This window comes from Homo sapiens, chromosome 2 (assembly GCF_000001405.40).
Source record: "Homo sapiens chromosome 2, GRCh38.p14 Primary Assembly".
Lineage (NCBI taxonomy): Eukaryota > Metazoa > Chordata > Mammalia > Primates > Hominidae > Homo > Homo sapiens.
Genome location: NC_000002.12, coordinates 27,425,490 through 27,447,185, shown reverse-complemented (window position 1 = coordinate 27,447,185; position 21,696 = coordinate 27,425,490). Strand labels below are relative to the sequence as shown.

Sequence of the window (21,696 nt, the reverse complement as noted above, 5' to 3'; positions counted from 1 at the left end):
ATAGAATTCTAGAAGTGGAAAGAACCTTAGAAACAATCTAGGTGGGTGGGTGTGGTGGCTCACCCCTGTAATCCCAGCACTTTGGGAGGCCGAGGCGGGTGGATCACTTGAGGCCAGGAGTTCGAGACCAGCCTGGCCAACGTGGTGAAACCCCATCTCTACTAAAAACATAAAAATTAGCCAGGTTGGCCGGGCGCGGTGGCTCACGCCTGTAATCCCAGCACTTTGGGAGGCCGAGGCGGGTGGATCATGAGGTCAGGAGATCGAGACCATCCTGGCTAACAAGGTGAAACCCCGTCTCTACTAAAAATACAAAAAATTAGCCAGGCACGGTGGCGGGCGCCTGTAGTCCCAGCTACTCGGGAGGCTGAGGCAGGAGAATGGCGTGAACCCGGGAAGCGGAGCTTGCAGTGAGCCGAGATTGCGCCACTGCAGTCCGCAGTCTGGCCTGGGCGACAGAGCGAGACTCCGTCTCAAAAAAAAAAAAAAAAAAAAAAAAAAAAAATTAGCCAGGCATGGTAATGTGCGCTTGTAGTCCTAGCTACTCAGGAGGCTGAGGCACGAGAATTACTTGAATCCGGGAGGCAGAGGTTGCAGTGAGCTGAGATGGCACCACTGCACTCCAGCCTGGGCGAAAGAATTGAACCTAGGCCCAGGTGTCTTGTTCAGAGAAAAAGAAAAAAAAAACTAAGACCCAGAACAGCTTGAGAATCCAGAGCAGTTTAATAATAATTGTTGTTTTTTAGTTCTGTGGCTGCCTTACAGGATCATTGGTCTGGTAGCTCAGTCACTTTAGTGCCATATTCATAATGCTTTGACTTTAATCCCAGGAAACCGTGGCTGCCAGGCTTTCTGTTTCACTCTTGCGTCACACCCAGCTACTACCTGTAGACAAAGCCTTCTATGAAGCAGGCATTGCTGCCAAGGTGAGCTGGGACAAGGAAGGGTGGGGCAGATAGGAGGAAGTTAAAGGTTGGAAAATAGAATATCCCTTCTGCTCTGGTAGAGGAAAGCTGAGTGTAGGGCTGATGTTACGGAGGATGTAGTCCTCCTATGTCTTCCTGGATTTTTCTCCCTGGATCCCAGAGAAATAGCATTCAAGCCCAGCTTGCTCACTCCCATTTGCATCTGGATCCCAGAGAAGTAGCATTCAAACCCAGCTTGTTCACTCCCATTTGCAACTCTTCTTTGCTGCAGGCAGTTGGCTGGGATAACATGGCATTCATCTTCCTCAATCGCTTTTTGGACCTGACCGATGTGAGTAGGGAAGCTGTGCCCCGAGGGTGGAGGTTTTTGCCAGTCGCGAGCTGTGCCTAGTTCATGGTTGCCCACTCTACTGCAGGCAATCGAGGAAGGGACTCTAGATGGCCTTGACCACTCTGATTTTCAGGATACAGACATTCCCTTTGAGGTGCCACTCCCAGCTAAGCAGCATGTACCGGTAAGGGCACAGGGTTGGAAAACCGGAAGGCCTCACCAGTGTGAGTGCCTTGAGGAGGGAGAATATCTTTGTGCTGCCATCTTTGGAAGGACCTCAGCCCTCACTGTTTTTTCAGTGAAAGTAGAAGCAAAATAGAAAGAAAAGGCTGTGACTGCATCCCCCAATCCAAGGAGGATTCGTGGCTAAAAGCTGGTATACAGGATGAGGGCTTAGCAAACCCCCTCCTCACCCATCCACCCCAACTTGTCCTGCCCTGCCCTGTGTGAAGCTACCACTCCCTTCTTGTCCTTTCCAGGAGGCTGAGAGAGAAGAGGTTCGAGACTGGGTGCTTACAGTCTCCATGGACCAGCGGCTGGAGCAGGTTCTGCCTCGGGATGAGCGTGGCGCCTACGAGGCCTCCCTAGTGGCAGCGAGCACTGGTGTTCGAGCCCTGCCCTGCCTTATTACAGGTATAGAAGCCTACAGCACCCCAGATCCTGTGGTGGGTAGAAAGCAGCAGGATCAATAAACTTAATTTTACTAGGATTCAGTAAAGGGTACAAAAGACAGGACTGTGCTTTCTACCCCCCAGGCTGCTCCTCATTTTTCCCTCCTCAATCTCTCTCAAACCCCAGTTCATCATTTTTTCTTCCTCCACAGGATACCCCATTCTGAGGAACAAAATTGAATTTAAGCGGCCAGGGAAGGCTGCTAACAAGGACAACTGGAATAAATTCCTTATGGCCATCAAGGTTAGAGAGGAGGACTTGGAGAATGAAGGCAGAGAGGGCAGCACTAAAAAAAGAAAAAAAAACAAGTCTGGGTGCAGTGGCTCATACCTTTAATCCCAGCACTTTGGGAGGCCAAGGTGGGCGGATCACCTGAGGTCAGGAGTTTGAGACCAGCCTGGCCAACATGGTTAAAACCTCGTCTCTACTAAAAATACAAAAGTTAGCCGGGTCTGGTGGCGTGCACCTGTAATCCCAGCTACTCAGGAGGCTGAGGCAGGAGAATCGCTTAAACCCGAGAGGCAGAGGTTGCAGTGAGCTGAGATTGTGCCACTGCACTCCAGCCTGGGCGACAAAGCAAGACTTTGTCTCAAAACAAACAAAAAACCCACATACACACTAGAAAGATGGGTGGGATTACAGGAAGGCAGATGCAGACCCTGAAGCCTGCGATGGAGCTGATTTTGTATTTCCAGCATTAACAAGTTCCTCTCATGTTCTTCCATTTGCTCACAGACCTCCCACAGCCCAGTGTGCCAGGACGTGCTGAAATTCATCAGTCAGTGGTGTGGAGGGCTCCCCAGCACCAGCTTTTCCTTTCAGTAGTTGGTAGAGCTGAGGAAGAGTTAGGGCCTCTCCCTCATTAAAGTTTTATAAATAATTGAGACCACTGTATTCTTTGATCAAAGTCATTCCCAACACCACACAGTGCCTTTTCCCCAAAAGGAATCATAATCAAGTAGAAGAAAAGAGAAGTTACTTTATTACAATTTGTTATCTCATCCCGAGGTCAGGGCCCCTTGCTTAGTGGGAAAAAAAACCCTTTAGGACTGAGTCTCGGAACAGCACCTGCTGGACAGAGGGGAGAACCAACCCAGGTCAGAGGGGAAAGCAGCATGGCAAGACCTAGACCCAGTTCTAAGAGCACTTCCTTGTCCCCGCTCTTACCCGGGCCACCACCTTCAAGGCCCATTACCTGTCCTAAACCCAACTTCTCTGTGATGCCCGGATTTCTTGATTTTGATCCAGTAGCTGCTCATTTTCCTGCCTTTTACATTTAGGAGATTCAAGCTCTGTCATTTCCTCTAGCTGCAGAAGAAGATAGAGTTAGACACCCTCGCCCTGAATGATAGGTCAGCATCTTTTTTTTGTTTTGTTTTTTGTGACGGAGCCTCACTCTGTTGCCCAGGCTGGAGTGCAGTGGCGTGATCTCGGTTCACTGCAACCTCCGCCTTCCGGGTTCAAGCGATTCTCCTGCCTCAGCCTTCCAAGTAGCTGGGATTACAGGCGCCCACCACCCCACCTAATTTTTTGTATTTTTAGTAGAGACGAGGTTTCACCATGTTGTCCAAGCTGGTCTCAAACTCCTGACCTCAAGTGATCCGCCTGCCTCAGCCTCCCAAAGTGCTGGGATTACAGGTGTGAGCCTCCGCACCCGGCCGGTCAGCATCTTTTCAACACAGCCAGTCTCTGTGGAATGAACCCTTCCTGTTTGCCTTCCTTACCTGCCCCTGAAGTCCGTCCTTCCTGCAGGGCCCAACTCCACGTAGAGTGAGTGCAGCCACACAGCAGTAACCAGATAGAGCAGCCTCCCCTGCAGACATGAGCAAAGAAGGGATCCAGAGAGCCAAGGCTGTATCCTGAAAAGCAAGAAGGATGGGGAGTAGGAGGGAGTAGGGCAAGTGCAGCAAATAGGGGAAATTAAAAGGGCAGGACCAAGGCTTTGTAGACCACAAGAAGGAAGAGAATGTGCTCACATAGATTCTTGTGGGGTCAAAGGGGCAGTCAGTATGTCCCGGCCCCTCATCCAGTGGTACCAGAGGATCCAGCAGTCCTGGGTGGCAGTCAGCAATAAGGCGGCGGCCACCGTTGGCCACAGTGAGTGACACAGCAAGAAGGAGGCCCAGGGAGCAGGCAACGGACAAGAGCAGGTTCACCAGAGCTAGTGCCAGCAGGACCCAGTGCTGGCAGGGACAGGAGATCAGGGTGAGCAGCCTGGGCCTGGCTAACTCTCCCAGTGACTAGACACCCAGTTTCTCTGAGGCTCCTCCAATCTATTGAAAGACCAAGCTCAGTCAGCCCCCATTTCCCTGACTCAAGCCTACTCGTTAAAAGCTCCAGGGAAGTCCCTCTCACCAGTGGAGGGCGAAGAAGGTTCCTGGACGCCAGGAGGGCCACAAGTCCCACGGAAACGCTCTGTGGAAGACACAAAGCCTTTGGCCTGCTGGGCTCTCCGGGAGCCCGGCCCCCGCCCGGGTCGCCTGCCGCGCTCACCAGCAGCCCCGAGCCGACAGAGATGACATTGGCTACGGTGTACTCCGGCGTGACAGCGCCGCGGGGATTGGCCACGTGCCGCAGGACGGTGCCATGCAGCACGGCCCCCAGCAGCAGGTTCACGTGGCCCACCAAGATCAGCGCGAGGCCCACACGCATCAGCCGCCTGGGCCCCCGGGCGGCGTCTGCAAAGCACGGGGGAGGGCAGGGTTGAGTCGGGCGGGGAGGGGAGAGGCGGCTCGCGGCGGGTTAACCGCGGGCAGTAGGACGGGGCAAGGGTAGCCCCAGGGTAAGGAGACGAGACGCCAGGGCCCGGAAGTTACCGAAAGCGCAGAGACTGCAGCGCCTCATCCCGTCCGCCGCGCCAGCCGCAGGGCCGCTGTACCTGGGCCCGGCCCCGCCCCAACCTGGGCCCCGCCTCCGTCCCGGGTCCCCCTCCCACCTGGGCCCCGCCTCCGCCCCGGGCCCGCTCCCCCTGGCGGGAAAGGCGCGAACACACGACGCTTTTAGCAAAAAGTAGACTTTTATTACAGCAGCAACTGAGGCGAATCGAATGGCCCCCCAGGGCCACCACTGCAGCACCACCTTTCTCTCCCGCCCCGGCCGCCCCAGCGGGATTGTAGAATTCGGCTCCCCTAGTGCCCGTGGGCCTCCTTTCCACACAGGCTGGGCGGGAGCCGGCAGATCAGCGACTAGCCCCCAACTAGAAGGCGGCTGCTGAGAAGGCCCAGGCCCACGTCTGTGCAAAACAAGTAAACAAAGTGCAGAGGGGAGGAAGAGAGGGGAGGGGAAAGGATGATGCTCAGAACCAGGGAGCCCCCCCAGCCCTCCTGAATAATAAAGGAGGGAAGGGGCTTCACAGGGTAATACTGACTGGGGGGAAGGGACAGGAGGGCTGCAGCACGTCCAGGGACAGCCACAGCGCAGATCAGGGCCTGGCCCGAGTGAGCTCTAAGAGGAGACGGTGACAGCGGCTGAGTTGAGGGTACTGTTCCTGGCAAAATTGAACTTGTTCAAGGTCTCTTCTAGCAGAGAAGTCAACCGGCTCTGGTCAGCCTGGGGGAGAAGAGCTCAGTAAGATGGGGGCTGAGAGAAGAGAAGGCATGGGGGCAGCCAGGGCAGATGAAGGCAGAAACCTCACCTCACTAATGAAGCCCAGCTGCACCAGCTCAGCCGCCAACTCGGGGATATTCTCATCTGACAAAGAAACAGGAGGGGGTGAGTACAGTACGGGACTGAGGGACCTGGGGCCCTTCAGACAGCCCCACTAGGGCTAAACTGTCAGTCAGATCCACCCACTGCTTTAGGGTCTAAGATAGTCATTCTATGTGAGTCAATGTGTTACTGCCTTGTCACCTCCCCCACCCCTGAATATGTCCCTAAAAGATAAGGCTCATAGACTCTCCATCCTCTGAGGGAAAGGAGAGACTCACTTGGCATCAGGTCACAGCTCAGGTGCCGGTTCAGTTTGTCCTCCAACTTCAGCAGAAGTGTCAGCTGGAGAATAGGACAGTCAGAAAATGAGACTTTTCTTCCCTACCCTCTGGCTACTAGCCCTGCGCAACCCTAGCCCTGAGCCTTACGTGGTGTTTGACTCCCTCCTCCACCGACTCAATGTTGCACTGCATCAGCACCACCTAGGGAGGGAAGAGAGGGTCACTCTAGAGACCTGTCCATAAAAAACCCAATACCTAGACGTCTTTCGAGCCCATAGGGCATGGCTGCTAGGGAGCATTTTCTCTAAAGGATAGAGCCTTATTTGAGATGTCCTCTCTCCCTTCCACCACAACCATGGAGACAATCCACACCCACACAGCCCCCACCTTGCGAGTCTCCACCTCAGCTGGTTCAGGTGTCGGAGTCTTGACAGAGGGGGGCACGACAGGTGATGTCACCTCCTCCTGCTGTGGCTGCTGGGGCCGAGGCAGCCCAAAGGCTGTCAGAGGATAGATCCCATTCCTGGAGGGAGATGAAGACAGGTCACATGGGCTCTGTGAACGCCTTAGGATACCCAACCCCGCCTGCTTCCTCAAGAAAGCCTGCTTCTCACTCTGCTCTCACCTGACATCTTCAAGGAATTTATCTAATTCCAGAGCTGGTGACTGAGAGTACCTGGACGAGAAAAGAGAAAGGAGATGGAAGGAAAGAAACAAGCAAAATAGCAAATTCAAGCATTCCCAGAGAATGGACAGTTTACAGAGCCTCAAGAGTGGTCGTGACCAATCTGCCCCTTTCAGACCCTCTCAGTTACTCACAAAGTCTGAACTGGTTCTCTTCCTGGTCCTGCAGGGATTTCAGCCAGTACGGCACTAGTATCCATGTTTTTGGTGATCTCCTCTAGAGCGTTCTCTGGGATCATGTCTGGAGGGCATGATGGAGTGGGATATTATGAAGGGATAGTCAGATTAAATGTCAAAGAAGGCATGCAGGCAAAGGGGTAAAGAATCCCTTTGGAGGCCTGGCACAGTGGCTCATGCCTGTAATCCCAGCACTTTGGGAAGCCGAGGCGGACAGATCACTTGACGCCAGTTCAAGACCAGCCTGGCCAACATGGCGAAACCCCATCTCTACTAAAAGTACAAAAATTACCCAGGCATGGTGGCACATGCCTGTAATCCCAGCTCTTCGGGAGGCTAAGGCACAAGAATCGCTTGAGCCTGGGAGCTGGAGGTTGCAATGAGCTGAGATCAAGCCATTGCACTCCAGCCTGAGAGAGAGTGAGACTCTGTCTCAAAAAAAAAAAAAAAAAAAAAAAAAAAAAAAAAAAAGAATCCCTTTGGAAATAAAGAGGAAAACAAGCATGCCAGTGATAGTTACAGGGCTCCAGATTGGAAGACTATTCCCCATAGGGCCAAGACGACTCACGTTGGTGTCCCACAATGCAGTGGGCCGCAAGGAGTTTGAGCGAGGGCACTTCAAACAATGCTGGGTGGAACAGAAGTTCTCTGGCTGTTGGTCTGCGAGCAGGCTCAGACTGCAGGCACTTTTGAATGAACTCCTAGAAAAGGAAACAAGGAACTGGAGCAGGCATCTGGCAAGCCCCCAGTGTGTTCATCTTTATAGCTCTCATTCTACTTAGCACAAGGCTTTGTACATAGTAGGTGCTCAGCACTTGCTGAGAAAACAATATATTGAAAAATGCACCTGAAAGGGCTTCAAAAACTGTAAGATATTATATGAAAGATACCATCCACTGCCTTTCTGGTTTTAATTATTTTTCTGCTCTCCAACCACAAGCTTTCTTTTTTAATGTTCACAATTTTTTTTTTTTTTTTTTTTGAGACGGAGTCTCGCTCTGTCGCCCAGGCTGGAGTGCAGTGGCGCAATCTCAGCTCACTGCAACCTCTGCCTACCGGGTTCACGCCATTCTCCTGCCTCAGCCTCCCGAGTAGCTGGGACTACAGGTGCCCACCACCATGCCCGGCTAATTTTTTGTATTTTCAGTAGAGACGGTTTCACCATGTTAGCCAGGATGGTCTCAATCTCCTGACCTCGTGATCCACCCGCCTCAGCCTCCCAAAGTGCCGGTATTACAGGCATGAGACACCGCGCCCGGCCCCACACTTTCTTTTTCCTTAGTTTCTACCTCTCTGCTTTATTAGTCAACTCACTGCCTATCTTCTTTTCTAAATCTTGCCAAATTTAGCTTCTCTCTTCCCAAACTTACCCAATGTGATCAATATTCACCATTTTTTTATTTCACAAGCCTAGTATCACAATTTCCTTTGCCCACAATCACTGAATTCACCGAATTTCCCAGGATTCCTCTAACGATTCTGCCTTATTTTCTTTCTTTCTTTTTTCTGAGACAGGGTCTTGCTGTGCCAACCAGGCTGGAGTACAGTGGCACAATCACAGCTCACTGCTGCCTCAACCTCCTGGGCTCAAGCAATCCTCCCACTTCAGCTTCCAGAGTAGCTGGGACCACAGGCATGTGCCACCATACCCAGATAATTTTTATTTTTTCATAGAGATAGGGTTTTACCACGTTGCCCAGGCTAGTCTCGAACTCCTGAGCTCAAGTGATCCTCCCACCTCAGCCTCCAAAAGTGCTGGGATTAAAAGTATGAGCCACCATGTTCCACCACCGCCTCCTTTTCTACCTCCTGCATGTCCCATGACAATTAACCTGCTTTCCTGCTTTTAACCTTGAAGGCTAACAAGGTCACATACCTAATCTTTCACTTGAATACTCCACCTCAATGTTGAAGTAGAAACTTACTCCACACTATCCTCCTGACTTCCCACTAGTCTTCTTTTCTCTCCTGTTCCCTACTATACTTATCTAATGAGTTACAAACTGTTCTTGTTTGGACCTTCCTGCCCAGGCTCTGCTTACTATAGTCTATCAACTGATTCATAACCTTATGTCTTTTAAATCTTAGCTCATTATTTCAGGCCACCGTCCCTAACTAAAACTGTATAAATATAAAATCCCAAACAACTGGTTTAATTTAAATTGACTGATGTGCTTAAAAATATAAAAATGGCTGTCTGAGAGTATACAGCAATGGCCTGAAGTAACCATCAAATTAATTTACCTCCATGTAGACACATTCAAATTAACATACTTTTTTTTTTTTTTTGAGACAGTCTCGCTCTCTTGCCCCAGCTGGAGTGCAGTGGCCCAATCTCAGCTCACTGCAATCTCCGCCTCCCGGGTTCAAGCTTGCCTCAGCCTCCCGAGTAGGTGAGACTACAGGCACACACCACCATGCCCAGCTAATTTTTGTATTTTTAGTAGAGACAGGGTTTCACCATGTTGGCCAGGCTGGTCTCAAACTCCTGACCTCAAGTGATCCACCCGCCTCAGCCTCTCAAAGTGCTGGGATTACAGGTGTGAGCCACTGCACCCAGCCAACACACAACTTTTTTTTTTTTCTTTTTTTCTGAGACGGAGTCTACCTGTGTCGCCCAGGCTGGAGTGCAGTGGCGCGATCTCAGCTCACTGCAAGCTTTGCCTCCCGGGTTCATGCCATTCTCCTGCCTCAGCCTCCTGAGTAGCTGGGACTACAGGCTCCCGCCACCAAGCCTGGCTAATTTTTTTTGTATTTTTAGTAGAGACAGGGTTTCACCATGTTAGCCAGGATGGTCTCGATCCCCTGACCTCGTGATCCGCCCGCCTCGGCCTCCCAAAGTGCTGGGATTACAGGCGTGAGCCACCATGCCCGGCTTCCAACACACAACTTTTAACCCCAGCATCATCCATCTTAACCCCCTTACCTGTGTGTTTCTATGCAAAAACATGGTAGGCACCTCCTAAGAAAATGTTTATAGATTTTTCGTGTCCTTTCTGTTATGTTCCCTAGCTCTTAGGAGCATATACCCAGTGGGTACAAAGGAAGAAAAACCAGAAGACATTTGAAGGTCAGTTGAGGAGGGAGTGATCCTGAAGATCCTTACCCTCTGTAATGGGTCTTCTAGAAGCTGGATGGCACTGCTGATGGCTTCCTGTGGCACATATGAGGACTCTCCATTGCCCTGAATCTCCAGCACTGCCATCTTCAGTGAGGAAGAATAAAAAAAAAAGTAGACACCTAAGAACTTCAGTGCTCCCACAATCACTCCCTCCAAGCCAGCGCCTTACTTGTCTTCCCTCCATTCCCAATTCCATCTTCTCATCTGACCCCTTTCCCCCCTCCCCTCCAGTCCCCTCACCTCCAGTGCACACATGCCAAAGGAGTAGATGTCCACTGCTGTTGTCACATTAGTGACTTCTAGGGAAAACAGAGAAGGCTTTGGTTAATCAGAGGATTGGGGGCTAGGGTTGGCAGGAATGCCTTAGGAAAAAAAAAAAAGAAAAGAAAAATATTTTGTATGCTGGTAGAGAAGGCCTAGAAGTTTCAGTTATATTGCCTCTGTACCTCAAGTTATAAGGTGCAAAAGCAGGGGGATGAGGACAGGGCAGAGAAAGCAGGAAGGCTCACCTCCATACTCTGGTGCAAAGAAGTGTAGATTCTTCTGCTCTTCTCGACAAGTCTTCACATGATTGTTGATAGTGTCAGGAGCCACTGGGAGTAGGGGAGACACCCACAATCTGACCATCATCAATGAAGAATAGTCTCACTCCAGAGAGAGGCCCCAAAAGCCAAATTCTCTCCTGAAGTCTCCTTTCTGATGACCCTCAACAGGCACAAACATATTCCCTTTCCTGTCCTGAACTACAGACCACACATGGATGCCACCTACCTCCCCTTTCTTAGGCCTACTGCTTCTCATCTAATGTCCCTAAATCAGGAGCAACAAAAGCACCAGACTAAATTAACAGATACACAGGGGCTTCAGGCTGGTCTAGAAGCAATGAAGTTTAAGGAAAAATTTTCACTTGTACTGCGTTCACCTTCCCTAAATCCCAGGTACCTCTAATCCCTGCTCACATGAAAATATTTGGTTTTAGTTTTTTCATCCACCCTGCAAATAACATAAAAACACAGGCAGCCCTTCCTAATCTGGGACAATTGGAGACCTCAGGAACTTGGATAAATAAGGATAAGAAGTATTAACATACAGCTCAGGAGGTAGCCTCCTTCTTACCCACCTTTGCTGAGTGAAACTCAAAACAGCTCAGAATTGAGCTAATACCCTTGAATCTGTTCCACTTTTAATCCACCAAAACATTTTAGACTCCTGTTCTACCCCCTTATTCCTCAACACTGTCTGCCACAGAGCTGAACGAGGAACCAGGACCAGGCCCAATTTGGACTCACTCAGATCATAAACAATGACTACAAGTCACAGAGAATCTGGGAGCACAGTATGATCTGGGAACTAGCCTGATGATGAGGGAGAACATGAATCCAGGAGGTAAGTGGCCAGCCAGGCAGAATCCACAGGAAACAAGCAGGTTATGAAGGGGCAAGCAGGCGGAGGGCTGGCAGGGCAGAAGCTAAGCAGGCATAATTAGGCAGGGAAGATAGGGGAAGAGGGTTTGCTCCCACGACTGCATGCACTGGGCAGCCGCCAAGGGAGCAGAGGGAGCACAAACAGAGCCCCAAGTGGGGCAGAGGGAGCTCTCACCATTAGCAAAAATCCTATGAAAGACTGTTGGGAACAGAGCAGCCCGTAAGCGGGAGGGAGGAAAACAGAGAAAAGTTGTGAGCGATGGAGCAGCCAAGCCCCAGACAAATGGACACACAAATACCACACAGACACAGCACACAGAAATGTTGTACACTGCATACAATACACAGCAAACGAAAGCACTCACAGCAGGAACAGCCTGGAACCTCCTCTGGCAGGGTCTGGCCCCAGGACTCAAATCAAACCTCAAACCTATCTCTTGCCCTTTCCCAGCCTCTTATCAGTATCTCTGTATTAACCCCAATTTTCCCTTCAAAAAGGTGTAAGATTATATATCCTACCCCCTCTCCACTAATTAACTGGCCTCTCCTATTAATTACTCCTAGCAAGGTCCTTTCTCTTCTCACCAGCCCACACCTCAGAATTTTGCTCTGTTATCCCCCATTCCTTTCATCTTACCCCCATGGTTCCCAAATTCCCGAGGCTCCCCTGCCCAGAACCTCTCCCTCCCCTCACCAGAGCCAATCTTGATGAGTCCGTTGTGCTGGATGAAGATGGTGTCACAGGTCAGGTTCCCATGGATGATGGGGGGGTCACAGGAGTGCAGGTAGCTGTGGGGGCACTGGGCTGTTAGAGGGGCCACTGGGAAATTAAGGGCAGGGGGAACCCAAGGGTTAAGAGGAGCAAGGGCCAGGTCTCCTGCTGGTCACCATAAAGATAATCCCCACACTCTGAATCTCCATTATGCCTGATGATTTAAATAGCTGGATAAGCACTAGGAGAAAGAGGTAGGAGATAAGTGTCGTGGTTAGGGCATTAGGACGCACCCTTTAAAAGACCCGTAGGGGCCCTAATCTTGACAGTATATGATTCAAAGAAAGTGGGGAGAGGCAGAATAGAACAGAAGAGTAGTGCCCTGAAATCTGTTTGGAGTAACTACATCAGGAAATATGGGTAAGAAACTAACCAGGTACTACTTACCTTAGGGCAGAGAGGATTTGTGTGCACCAACGCTTCCATGCCTGGAACAAAGTTGGATCCAAGGGTCAGCAGTAATTCCCTCTCTTAACTCTCTCCCACTAGCTCCTTCCGTCCCTTCCTGATCAGCTTCATTATTAACAGAGTCCTTTTTAAAACCACCCCCAAAAACCAGCCTCAAACTTTGTCTGCTCTCCTTCTATACCTTTTCATTCATCGTCTTGTGGTTCTTTTTGGTCTTCTTCAGAAATTGCTTCAGACTCCCAGATGACATGTATTCTGTGATAAAAATGACCTGGGGAGGCAAAGCACTTACTAAAAGGCCTTATAGTAGAAATGATCCCTTCCCTTGTTAACATATTTTAAATTTGAAGGTTTGTTAAAATTTCTCTCCTTTTGTTCTTAGCTTTACTTACTTAGACTAAATAGGGCAATGAAAACAAGCAATGAAAGTTATGGGAAGAAAGAAGCAAAAGTTCACTCATTTTCTGCCCAATCTATAGCCACACAAAAGGCATAGGTGACAACTGAAGCCCTACTCTTATCGCCATTGCAGCTGATTCCAGTTCTGTTTCAAAACTACCTTGTTTTAATCTCTGAGTGTAAAAGGAACAATAATAAATGTAGCTAGTCTCTTTGCAATAAGTTCAGGAAATATGGGGAAAAAATTCTTACCCTGGCCTTGTTCTCTTTAATGTCAGCCCAATATTTGTGAAACTTAACAATGTTAAGATGCTCCAATTGAATCAGATTATCAAACACAGCACGAACCTTTTCCTGAAAGCAAGGGAGACAGTGGAATAACAGAGTCACAAATCACTGTAATAATCCTGAGAAGCCATTCCCTATCCCTCCCCAGAAACGATCTAACCCCAACATACTCTCCTCACGGGCAGCTTCCCAACACCAATTCCTCTCTAACATCAGTGTTCCAACATTCCCCAGGCTTCACCTTTTCAGCATCACCTACCTCCTGCAGCTTGTAGTTCTTGCGTTCAGAGAACTGTACCTCATTCCACACAACCTCTACACCTTCCTCTGTATCCATGGCCAGGTATGCACTGTCAATACCTGGTACATTCCGTTGATTCACCTGAGAAGAAATTCATATGAAAGAGAATTAAACTTATCTCACAAATCCTCCATTTTAACACTCCATATGATCATCTCCTCCTAGCCCCCAACCTATTGAAGTTTGGTTGGCCTCTTTTAAGACTTTGCTCTTCCAGTTCTCACCTTTCCAGAATTCACTCACCCAAGAGTAACTGTACCATAACCTTACCTCTTCTCGCCTCTTCTGCCAGCGCCCACAGGGCGACTCTTCCAAAATCTCAGACTCATCTTCACTTTCTTCTTCTTCCTCTGGGGAAGCAGCTGAGGTTGTGGAGGTCACAGGAGGTGACACTGATGTCAGGCCAGGAGCTGAAGATGAGGATTCTACCTTTGGGTCTGAGCCACTGCTAAGTACTGTCTGGGACTCCCCCTCCGACATGCTGGAAGGAACACTCAGGCCTGCACTGGTTGGGGCAAATACAGAGGGAAAAGGCAGAGAAAGTCAGGATACATCTGTAAAGATTTAGTAATCCAGGCTGGACGTGGTGGCTCATGCCTGTAATCCCAGCACTTTGGGAGGCTGAGGTGGGCAGATCACCTGAGGTCAGGAGTTCAAGACCAGCCTGATCAACATGGTGAAACCCCATCTCTACTAAAAATACAAAATTAGCTGGGTGTGGTGACGCGTGCCTGTAGTCCTAGCTACTCAGGAGACTAAGGCAGGAGAATTTTTTTGAACCAGGGAGGTGGAGGTTGCAGTGAGCTGAGATCACGCCACTGCACTCCAGCCTGGGTGACAGAGCAAGACCCCATCTCAAAAAAAAATTTAGTAATCCAGCTGAGCACAGTGGCTCACCTCTGTAATCCCAGCACTTTGAGAAGCCGAGGCAAGAGGTTCATTTGAGGCCAGGTGTTTGAGACCAGCCTGGGCAACAAAGTGAGACCCCATCTTTACAAAAAAATTTAAAAATTAGCAGGGCAAGGTGGTACACAGCTATAGTCCCAGCTACCCGAGAGGCTGATGGGAGAATCACTTGATTGCCCAGGAGTTTGAGGCTGCAGTGAGCTATGATCATGCCATTGGCTAGGCAACAGAGGGAGACCCTGTCTCAACAAAAAACAAACAAACAAAAAAAAAGATTTAATAATCCTAATACTTATCTGCAAATTCAAAAGAAAATAAAACAGGCCAGGCATTTGAGACCAGCCTGGACAACATAAAAAGACCCCAGTCTCTACACAAAACTTTTAAAAATTAAAAATAGAAAACACACACCACCTTTGTTTCCTTTAAATCCAAAATCAGAATCAGTCCTAAATACTGAAACATTAACTATTCTCCTAACTCTAGTCTAGAAAAGGGGAGCTATCTTAGTTGAAGATGACCCTCCCAGGAATGACAAACACAAGATTTATGGCAGTCTAATCCCACTTAGAGTAAGGTTCAAATCACCAGCAAAATCAGGTGCTCCATTCCTTCTTGGCAAATACTCATCCAATAGGCTTCCCTTTGAATCCCCAAGTACACCCTATTTTTACTGTGCTCAAGAATTAAGCTATGTGTGGACGGGCACAGTGGCTCACGCCTTTAATCCCAACACTTTGGGAGGCCGAGGTAGGTGGATTACCTGAGGTCAGGAGTTCGAGACCAGCCTGACCAACATGGCAAAACCCTGTCTCTACTAAAAATAAAAAAATTAGCTGGGTGTGGTGGCACGCACCTGTAGTCCCAGCTACTCAGGAGGCTGAGGCAGGAGAATCACTTGAACCCGGGAGGCAGAGGTTGCAGTGAGCTGAGATCGTGCCACTGCACTCCAGCTTGGGCAACAGAGTGAGACTCTGTCTCAAAAAATAAAAAAATATAAACTATGTGGGCGCTATTCAGAACAGATGACTCCAGACTCCAAAATGTTTCAGTGAGACAGCCTTAAGGCTAGACCTGTAGCACCCTCAGCCAACTTATCCAGCTGAAACCCTTGGCTAATTTATCCAGCTAGAACTAACCTTGGCATTCACTATCCATCCCTTCTCTACACAGAACAAGCCCACTAGTCCATGGTGAGGCTACCCTTGGGGCACATGACTGGCAGTTGTTAGTGACTTCATCCCTGATGACCTCACCTTTCCTGTGATGTGAGTGTGACAAATGGGTATTGGTTAACAACATTTTTTTTTTCATTCACTCATTTAACAGATGTTTTATTAAGCATTTATTGTGGGCCAAGCACTGGGCTAAGTCCTTGAGATACAATAACAAACAAAATAAATGCCCACATTCAAGCAGCCACAAATTCAAGCCAGAGCTAAGACTTTAAGCTTCCAGCTTTCATTTCATTCACATTGCTCAAAGGCTCTGAAGTTTCCATTCTCTGGGGGACTAGATCTGATATAGGTTATTTATTTTTTGGCAGAGGGGATGGAGTCTCACTCTGTCACCCAGGCTGGAGTGCCGTGGTGCAATCTCGGCTCACTGCAACCTCCGCCTCCCAGGTTCAAGCGATTCTCCTGCCTCAGCCTCCCGAGTAGCTGGGACTACGGGCACGTGCCACCACACCCAGCTAATTTTTTGTATTTTTAGTAGAGATGGGGTTTCACCGTGTTAGCCAGGATGGTTTCAATCTCCTGACTTCATGATCCGCCCGCCTCAGCCTCCCAAAGTGCTGGGATTACAGGCGTGAGCCACCACACCCAGCCTAGGTTATTTCTTACAAGTATAAATAACTCAAGGTACAACTTTTATAGGAAAAAGTATTATACAGCATAACATTTTCAGGGTCATGGGTACTTGAAGAAAAAGAATTATTGAGAGCTAAATGCCATTAACTTGTACAAAAAGTCACAAGACAACCACTTAATGTTATTTCATATCTCTAAGAATAAAGACTGTGAAGGAGTTGGAACCTGTGTGTGCTCAGCTCAAGAGAGTTCTCTACAGTATGAAAGAGATACCCTGGGCCAGGCAAGCTGGCCCACGCCTGTAATCCCAGCACTTTGGGAGATGGTGGCAGGCAGATTGCTTGAGCTCAAGAGTTCGAGACCAGCCTGGGCAACAAAAAAATACAAAAATATACAAAAATTAGCAGGGTGTGGTGGCGCACGTCTATAATTCCAGCTTATTCAAGAGGCTGAAGCACGAGAATCACTTGAACTCAGGAGGCGGAGGTTGCAGTGAGCCCAGATGGCGCCACTGCACTCCAGCCTGGGTGACAGAGTGAGACTATGACTCAAAAAAAAAAAAAAAAAGAAAAAAAGAAAGAAAAGAAAAAGAAACTGATACCCTGGAAACTAAATGTGCTCCTCTAAGTTCAGAAGTCTCCAGTCAACACACCAATCTTTTGAAAAGCCCACATTTATTTTTAGAACTCTCTGATGCCCATTTGTGCCCATCTCTGCCCCCAATCTACACTACGTTTAACTCAACTCAGGAGATTTTTATTAGAAGACAGTCTAGTAAATACCAAAGAGCAATAGGCAGTACAGAGGAAATCTGGCAAGATATTCTTTCCCTATGTTATTTTCTAGATCCTGACTTATTCTAGAGAGATTTGCCAGGCGCGCTGGCTCATGCCTGTAATCCCAGCTACTTAGGAGGCTGAAGTGGGAGGATCGCTGGAGAGGGATTTAACTCAGCCAGCCAGGAAAGCTACTATCTGCCTGTTTTAGTAATCTACCAGAAAACTTCTGTTAGAGATCATGTTCCTTCTTCTGAAAAGTAGCTAAGAAAATGGTAAGACACTATTAGTTACTTCCTTGAGCAGCTGCATTCACTGAATGCATCTAAAATCTGAACAACTAAATAAAATTCCCAGCCAGACTACAGTAGGAAATAACAGTAGAATTCTAATACAGGAAAGCTGTAGCCAATGGGCTCCAGAGAAACTTCTGGACCGAGGACACAAATAACTAATCCACAGTAGGGCACCACAGGAGACACCAACCCTTCATCAGAGATAGATGCCCTTGGAATTTGCTTATCCCCCCCACCTTCCTAATTTTTGTGACTTTTTATCCCTTCCTAATTTTTCCTTCGCAGGCAAAATGAGGGCAGTGCCCAAGATTCTCCAGCACTACTCCTATTGATGAAGAAACCTCTGCGACACTGGGAGTTTTGTCTCGGAGCCGCTGAGAGGTTTTAAAGAGATAACACATGGAAAAGCTCATATACTCCCATAAGGGGATTCTCGCCGCCTCCAGCCACCCTGAGACATGCAGTGTGTTCACTTTGGAGTAATGCAGATCGCCCTGCAAAGTTTTTCCCCGACACTTTCGTTTATTGGACAGCAGCCCCTCTGCGTGTCAACTCCTCTGCAAGAGCTCACGGGCCCAGGCCTCTCAGCTGTCCTCACCCTGAACGGACCAGAGGGCCTCTGAGACCCGCAGCACAGTCCAGTCGGAAATAAAACCGCTCTGGGGAGGAACCCGGCCCCTAGAATTTCACACTCCAACAGGTCGCATGCCCTGCGTCTGGAAGGCAGCCGCGGCCCGCGCGGGAACCAGGCTGGGGCCCAGGGAGCCAGCGGCGGCCACCTCATCAAAGGCCGGACCGACAGCGCAGTCAGGGGCGCAGGCCACGCCCCCGCGCAGTCTGCGCACCTCCCCGCGAGCAGGCCAGGCCAGGCCGCCGAGCTTCCGCAGGCCGCCGGGCCGCGACCGCCGCCCCCGCCCCCGCCCCCACCCGCCGGGCCCCGCCTCTCGCAGCCGGAGTTCCAAGCGAACGCCAGGGCCTCCCGACCCGCGCCCGCAGAATCCCGGGGCGCCGCCGCCAAGCCAGAGACGCCAGGGAGGGCTAAGCAGCGACTGCGGGGCCGAAGCGGCCCCTCGGCTCCAGCAGGCAGGGCCCGATCGGGCCTGGGCTACTGAGTGAGCAGGGCCGCCTTCAGCACCCGACTGGCGGGTCCCACCGTCCCGGGCCTCGGAGGCCGATCCTTCCGTCCTCTCGCGAACCCCTCCCTCCCGGGCCCTCTTTTCCCTGGGCGCTCACCTCCCGACTCCGCGCCCCGCAGCCTGCGCTTCAGCTCCAGCTCGGGTTCCGGGGCCCCGGATCACAGCGACTCCCTCACAGCTGCGCTCCGCAGCGCAACCGAACTGCGGGCCCCGCCCTCGCGGCGCCCGGACCAACGATGGGCGGTGCCGCACCGCCGGCAGGTTTCCATTGGGTGACGTTCTGGGTGGGCGGGGCCCGGCCCTCGGGCGTTCGCTGGGGTGGGCTTCCACCCGCTCTCCTCCCCTTGCGCCGGTCCGGCCGAGACCTCTCGGAGGGGTCGATGTTTTCGGTCCCAGCTGGGGCTCGTCTCTCTGTCCACCCCACCGCCCGGTCCAGGTGCCCCAGATGGTTCTGCTGGACGCAGAGAGGGCCTCCTACCTCTTCTTGAAGGCGCCATGACAGTTCTAATGCCTGGAAAAGACAAAAGGAGCGAAAGACATAGCCTCAGTCCGAGAGGAGCGCCCCCACCCCAGCCCCCGCCTGCATTATTTTGGAACGAGACTGGTGTGCAGGACGCCAATTCTCCGGAAAGCTTTTAAAATTTACCTAACACTGAAAATTAGTAGTTAACGCTTGGTGATTGCTTAGCACTATTTGCTTAAACTTTGTAAGAGGTTTTCACAGATGTTATTTCATTTGATCCTCATAAGAACGAACTCATTGAAATTATCATTCAATGGTAGTTGACAAATGCAAAAACCTGAATCAGAGGTATTAAGCTATTAACCGAAAGTTAAGTTGGTAAGAGCCAAGTCTAGAATCCGAAACAGTAAATTTCATCAAAGGAGACTACGTTGAGAAGATGTTTGGAAAGAATTTAGATTGGTTTCGAGTTAGTGGAAAGAAAAGATGATAAATTCTTGGTGAGCTATTAATCTGCGAAAACTAAGCGCGGAGCCTTCAGGATGGAAGTTCACTCTGCCCTTAGACGTGTATGATGGAGGGAAGATGATGAATCAATCAACAGAACTTGGAAATGTCACAATCACCAAATTTTACTGTCATTAAAGAGAATCTCTAATCCTGTTTCACTGGGAGAAAGGACAACTGGCAGAAACCCTCTCGTTTTCTCATCATCTCAAAATACTCGTTTTTAAAACCAATCTTTCGGCCGGGCGCGGTGGCTCACGCCCAGCACTTTGGGAGGCCGAGGTGGGCGGATCACTTGAGGTCAGGAGTTCGAGACCAGCCTGCTCAATGTAGTAAAACTCCGTCTCTACTAAAAATACAAAAATTAGCCGGGCGAGGTAGCACATGTCTGTTCTCTCAAGCTGCTTGGGAGGCTGAGGCGGGAAGATCACTTGAGCCCAGGAGGCAGAGGTTGCAGTAGGCCAAGACTGCACGACTACGCTCCAGCCTGGGCAACAGAGTGTGAGAATCCGTCTCAAAAAAAAAAAAAAAAAAAAAAAAAAAAAAATATATATATATATATATATATATATATATATATATATATATATGTATGTATGTTTTACCCTTTCTTCCTTGATTCTTCTATCTTTGGAAGAGGGGGGCTCAAACACCCTTTTTAAAATCTGATGTAACTTATGGGCCTTCTCTTGTACTTTAAAAAATGCACTTACCCAACAAATTTAGGATATAATTTCAGGAAACTGAGGTTAAGAATCTTTGCTCTGGGCTGGGCGCGATGGCTCATGCCTGTAATACCAGCACTTTGGGAGACTGAGGCGGGCGGATCATTTGAGGTCAGGAGTTCAAAACCAGCCTGGCCAGCATGGTGAAACCTCGTCTCTACTAAAAATACAAAAATTAGTCAGGCGTGCTTGTGGGCGCCTGTAATCCCAGCTACTCAGGAGGCTGAGGCAGGAGAATCACTTGAACCCGGGAGGCAGAGGTTGCTGTTAGCTGAGATCAGGCCACTGTACTCCAGCCTGGGCGACAAGAGCAAGACTCCACCTAAAAAATAAATAAATAAATAAATAAAATAATTTCTTGGTTCTAATCTCAAAGGAAAAGATTAACCTTTCCTTCCTGTGGGCTCAAAAGCAATTGGAACACCTGGCCCAGGGTAAACATTCATTAAATATCAGTTCATGTTATCATTAGAGTTTCCCATTCTCTTCTGCCTGGGGCTTTATCATTATCAACCTTCCGCTTTCAACTAGGTCCTTTCAAGTATGCATGGAGGACCCTTTGGCATCCTCTAGCTCTCATTTTTAACCCTTCATTACATTTAAAATGATCAAATACTACCTGCATTTTCACCACCTCATGTATTTATTTTTTCCTGCTTATAAAAATAATTCATGCTCATTGCCAAAAAACAACGCAAAAATATTCCCAAAACTATTTTAGTATAATGTAATATTTATATAGTAGCTTCTATGTGTTAGGCACTTTTAATTGCTTTATGACAACAATGCTGACAACAGTAATATGAATATTAACAATTTCTGTAGAAAGTGAAATCTCTTATAATCCTACTTCCCCCGATAATTAAGACTTTGGTGTATTTTTTTTTTTTTGAGGTGGAGTCTCGCTCCATTGCCCAGGCTGGAGTGCAGTGGCACGATCTTGGCTCACTGCAACCTCCACCTCCCAAGTTCAAGAGATTCTCCTGGCCTCAGCCTCCCGAATAGCTGGGACTACAGGCGTGTGCCACCATGCCTGGCTAATTTTTTGTATATTTAGTAGAGACGAGGTTTCACCGTGTTAGCCAGGATGGTCTCGATCTTCTGACCTCGTGATCTGCCCACCTTGGCCTCCCAAAGTGCTGGGATTACAGACATGAGCCACCGCGCCTGACCTTTTATTTTTATTTTTCTAAGTATATATTCACATATGTGTATATAATTTTAAATGAAAACAAGTTTATACTACATAACCTTTTTCACTTTTTTCTATGGCAATGCACATGGCCCTACTTTAATTTTTTAACCACTACTTTAATTTTTTACTTTACTTGGGTTTTTTTTTGTTGTTGTCTTTTTGTTTTGTTTTGTTTTGTTTTTGAGATGGAGTCTTGCTCTGTCGCCAGGCTGGAGTGCAGTGGCGCAGTCGTGGCTCACTGCAACCTCCGCCTCCTGGGTTCAAGCGATTCTCCTGCCTCAGCCTCCCTAGTAGCTGGGATTACAGGCACGCACCACCATGCCCAGCTAATTTTTGTATTTTTAGTAGAGATGGGGTTTCACCATGTCGGCCAGGCTGGTCTTGAACTCCTGACCTCGTGATCCGCCTGCCTCGGCCTCCCAAAGTGCTGGGATTACAGGTGTGAGCCA

At 49.1% G+C, this 21,696-nt stretch overlaps 3 protein-coding genes across 22 annotated transcripts in view, besides 3 other annotated features; 1 reads left to right on the top strand and 2 right to left on the bottom strand.

Annotated features, from left to right (window-relative positions):
- IFT172 (intraflagellar transport 172) overlaps window positions 1-2,809 on the top strand; it is a 45,367-nt gene extending 42,558 nt beyond the window's left edge. For 8 of the 10 annotated variants that reach the window (NM_001410739.1, NM_015662.3, XM_006711986.4 and 5 more), the window contains 6 exons: window positions 831-926; window positions 1,198-1,257; window positions 1,343-1,441; window positions 1,737-1,890; window positions 2,081-2,172; window positions 2,665-2,809. In NM_001410739.1, coding sequence (NP_001397668.1) covers window positions 831-926; window positions 1,198-1,257; window positions 1,343-1,441; window positions 1,737-1,890; window positions 2,081-2,172; window positions 2,665-2,754 — 591 coding nt within the window. In that variant the 3' untranslated portion in view covers window positions 2,755-2,809. The remainder of the gene's footprint in view (window positions 1-830; window positions 927-1,197; window positions 1,258-1,342; window positions 1,442-1,736; window positions 1,891-2,080; window positions 2,173-2,664) is intronic. The other 2 variants (XM_047443900.1, XM_006711987.2) reach the window with 1 other exon arrangement.
- Window positions 705-4,805, bottom strand: KRTCAP3 (keratinocyte associated protein 3). Of its 4 annotated transcripts, none has more exons than NM_001168364.2 (7): window positions 4,746-4,805; window positions 4,423-4,607; window positions 4,285-4,344; window positions 3,906-4,112; window positions 3,654-3,788; window positions 3,125-3,237; window positions 705-885 (listed from the first exon to the last, which is right to left on the bottom strand). In NM_001168364.2, exons 1-6 carry the CDS (start codon window positions 4,771-4,773, stop codon window positions 3,130-3,132), a joined length of 723 nt encoding a protein of 240 aa, NP_001161836.1. In that variant the 5' UTR covers window positions 4,774-4,805; the 3' UTR covers window positions 705-885; window positions 3,125-3,129. The 4 variants fall into 4 exon arrangements, with proteins under 4 accessions (NP_001161836.1, NP_776252.2, NP_001308254.1 ...); NM_173853.4 differs by lacking the exon at window positions 705-885 and adding an exon at window positions 2,889-3,000; NM_001321325.2 differs by lacking the exon at window positions 705-885 and adding an exon at window positions 2,889-2,997.
- Window positions 4,128-4,670: an enhancer, noted in NCBI's record as "H3K27ac-H3K4me1 hESC enhancer chr2:27665383-27665925 (GRCh37/hg19 assembly coordinates)". NCBI's record gives its function as "activates a minimal SCP1, AML or CMV promoter by ChIP-STARR-seq in primed H9 embryonic stem cells {active_cell/tissue: H9 hESC(primed)}" and the evidence as "EXISTENCE:reporter gene assay evidence [ECO:0000049][PMID:30033119]".
- On the bottom strand, window positions 4,927-19,396 carry NRBP1 (nuclear receptor binding protein 1). 8 transcript variants are annotated; one of them, NM_001321357.2, is made up of 19 exons: window positions 19,004-19,396; window positions 18,455-18,868; window positions 13,703-13,937; window positions 13,391-13,513; window positions 13,096-13,197; window positions 12,626-12,715; window positions 12,424-12,464; window positions 11,959-12,053; window positions 10,350-10,433; window positions 10,081-10,139; window positions 9,826-9,924; window positions 7,288-7,420; window positions 6,678-6,783; window positions 6,484-6,534; window positions 6,246-6,381; window positions 6,006-6,059; window positions 5,856-5,919; window positions 5,564-5,619; window positions 4,927-5,478 (listed from the first exon to the last, which is right to left on the bottom strand). In NM_001321357.2, exons 3-19 carry the CDS (start codon window positions 13,910-13,912, stop codon window positions 5,374-5,376), a joined length of 1,608 nt encoding a protein of 535 aa, NP_001308286.1. In that variant the 5' UTR covers window positions 13,913-13,937; window positions 18,455-18,868; window positions 19,004-19,396; the 3' UTR covers window positions 4,927-5,373. The 8 variants fall into 8 exon arrangements, with proteins under 8 accessions (NP_001308286.1, XP_047299992.1, NP_001308287.1 ...); XM_047444036.1 differs by having other exon boundaries at window positions 13,703-13,932; NM_001321358.2 differs by lacking the exon at window positions 19,004-19,396 and adding an exon at window positions 11,440-11,463 and having other exon boundaries at window positions 18,455-18,555.
- Window positions 16,369-16,668: an enhancer, noted in NCBI's record as "active region_15507". NCBI's record gives its function as "activates an Ori minimal core promoter by ATAC-STARR-seq in GM12878 lymphoblastoid cells {active_cell/tissue: GM12878}" and the evidence as "EXISTENCE:reporter gene assay evidence [ECO:0000049][PMID:35858748]".
- Window positions 18,038-18,187: a silencer, noted in NCBI's record as "silent region_11302". NCBI's record gives its function as "represses an Ori minimal core promoter by ATAC-STARR-seq in GM12878 lymphoblastoid cells {active_cell/tissue: GM12878}" and the evidence as "EXISTENCE:reporter gene assay evidence [ECO:0000049][PMID:35858748]".
- Window positions 19,397-21,696: the final 2,300 nt, after the last annotated feature.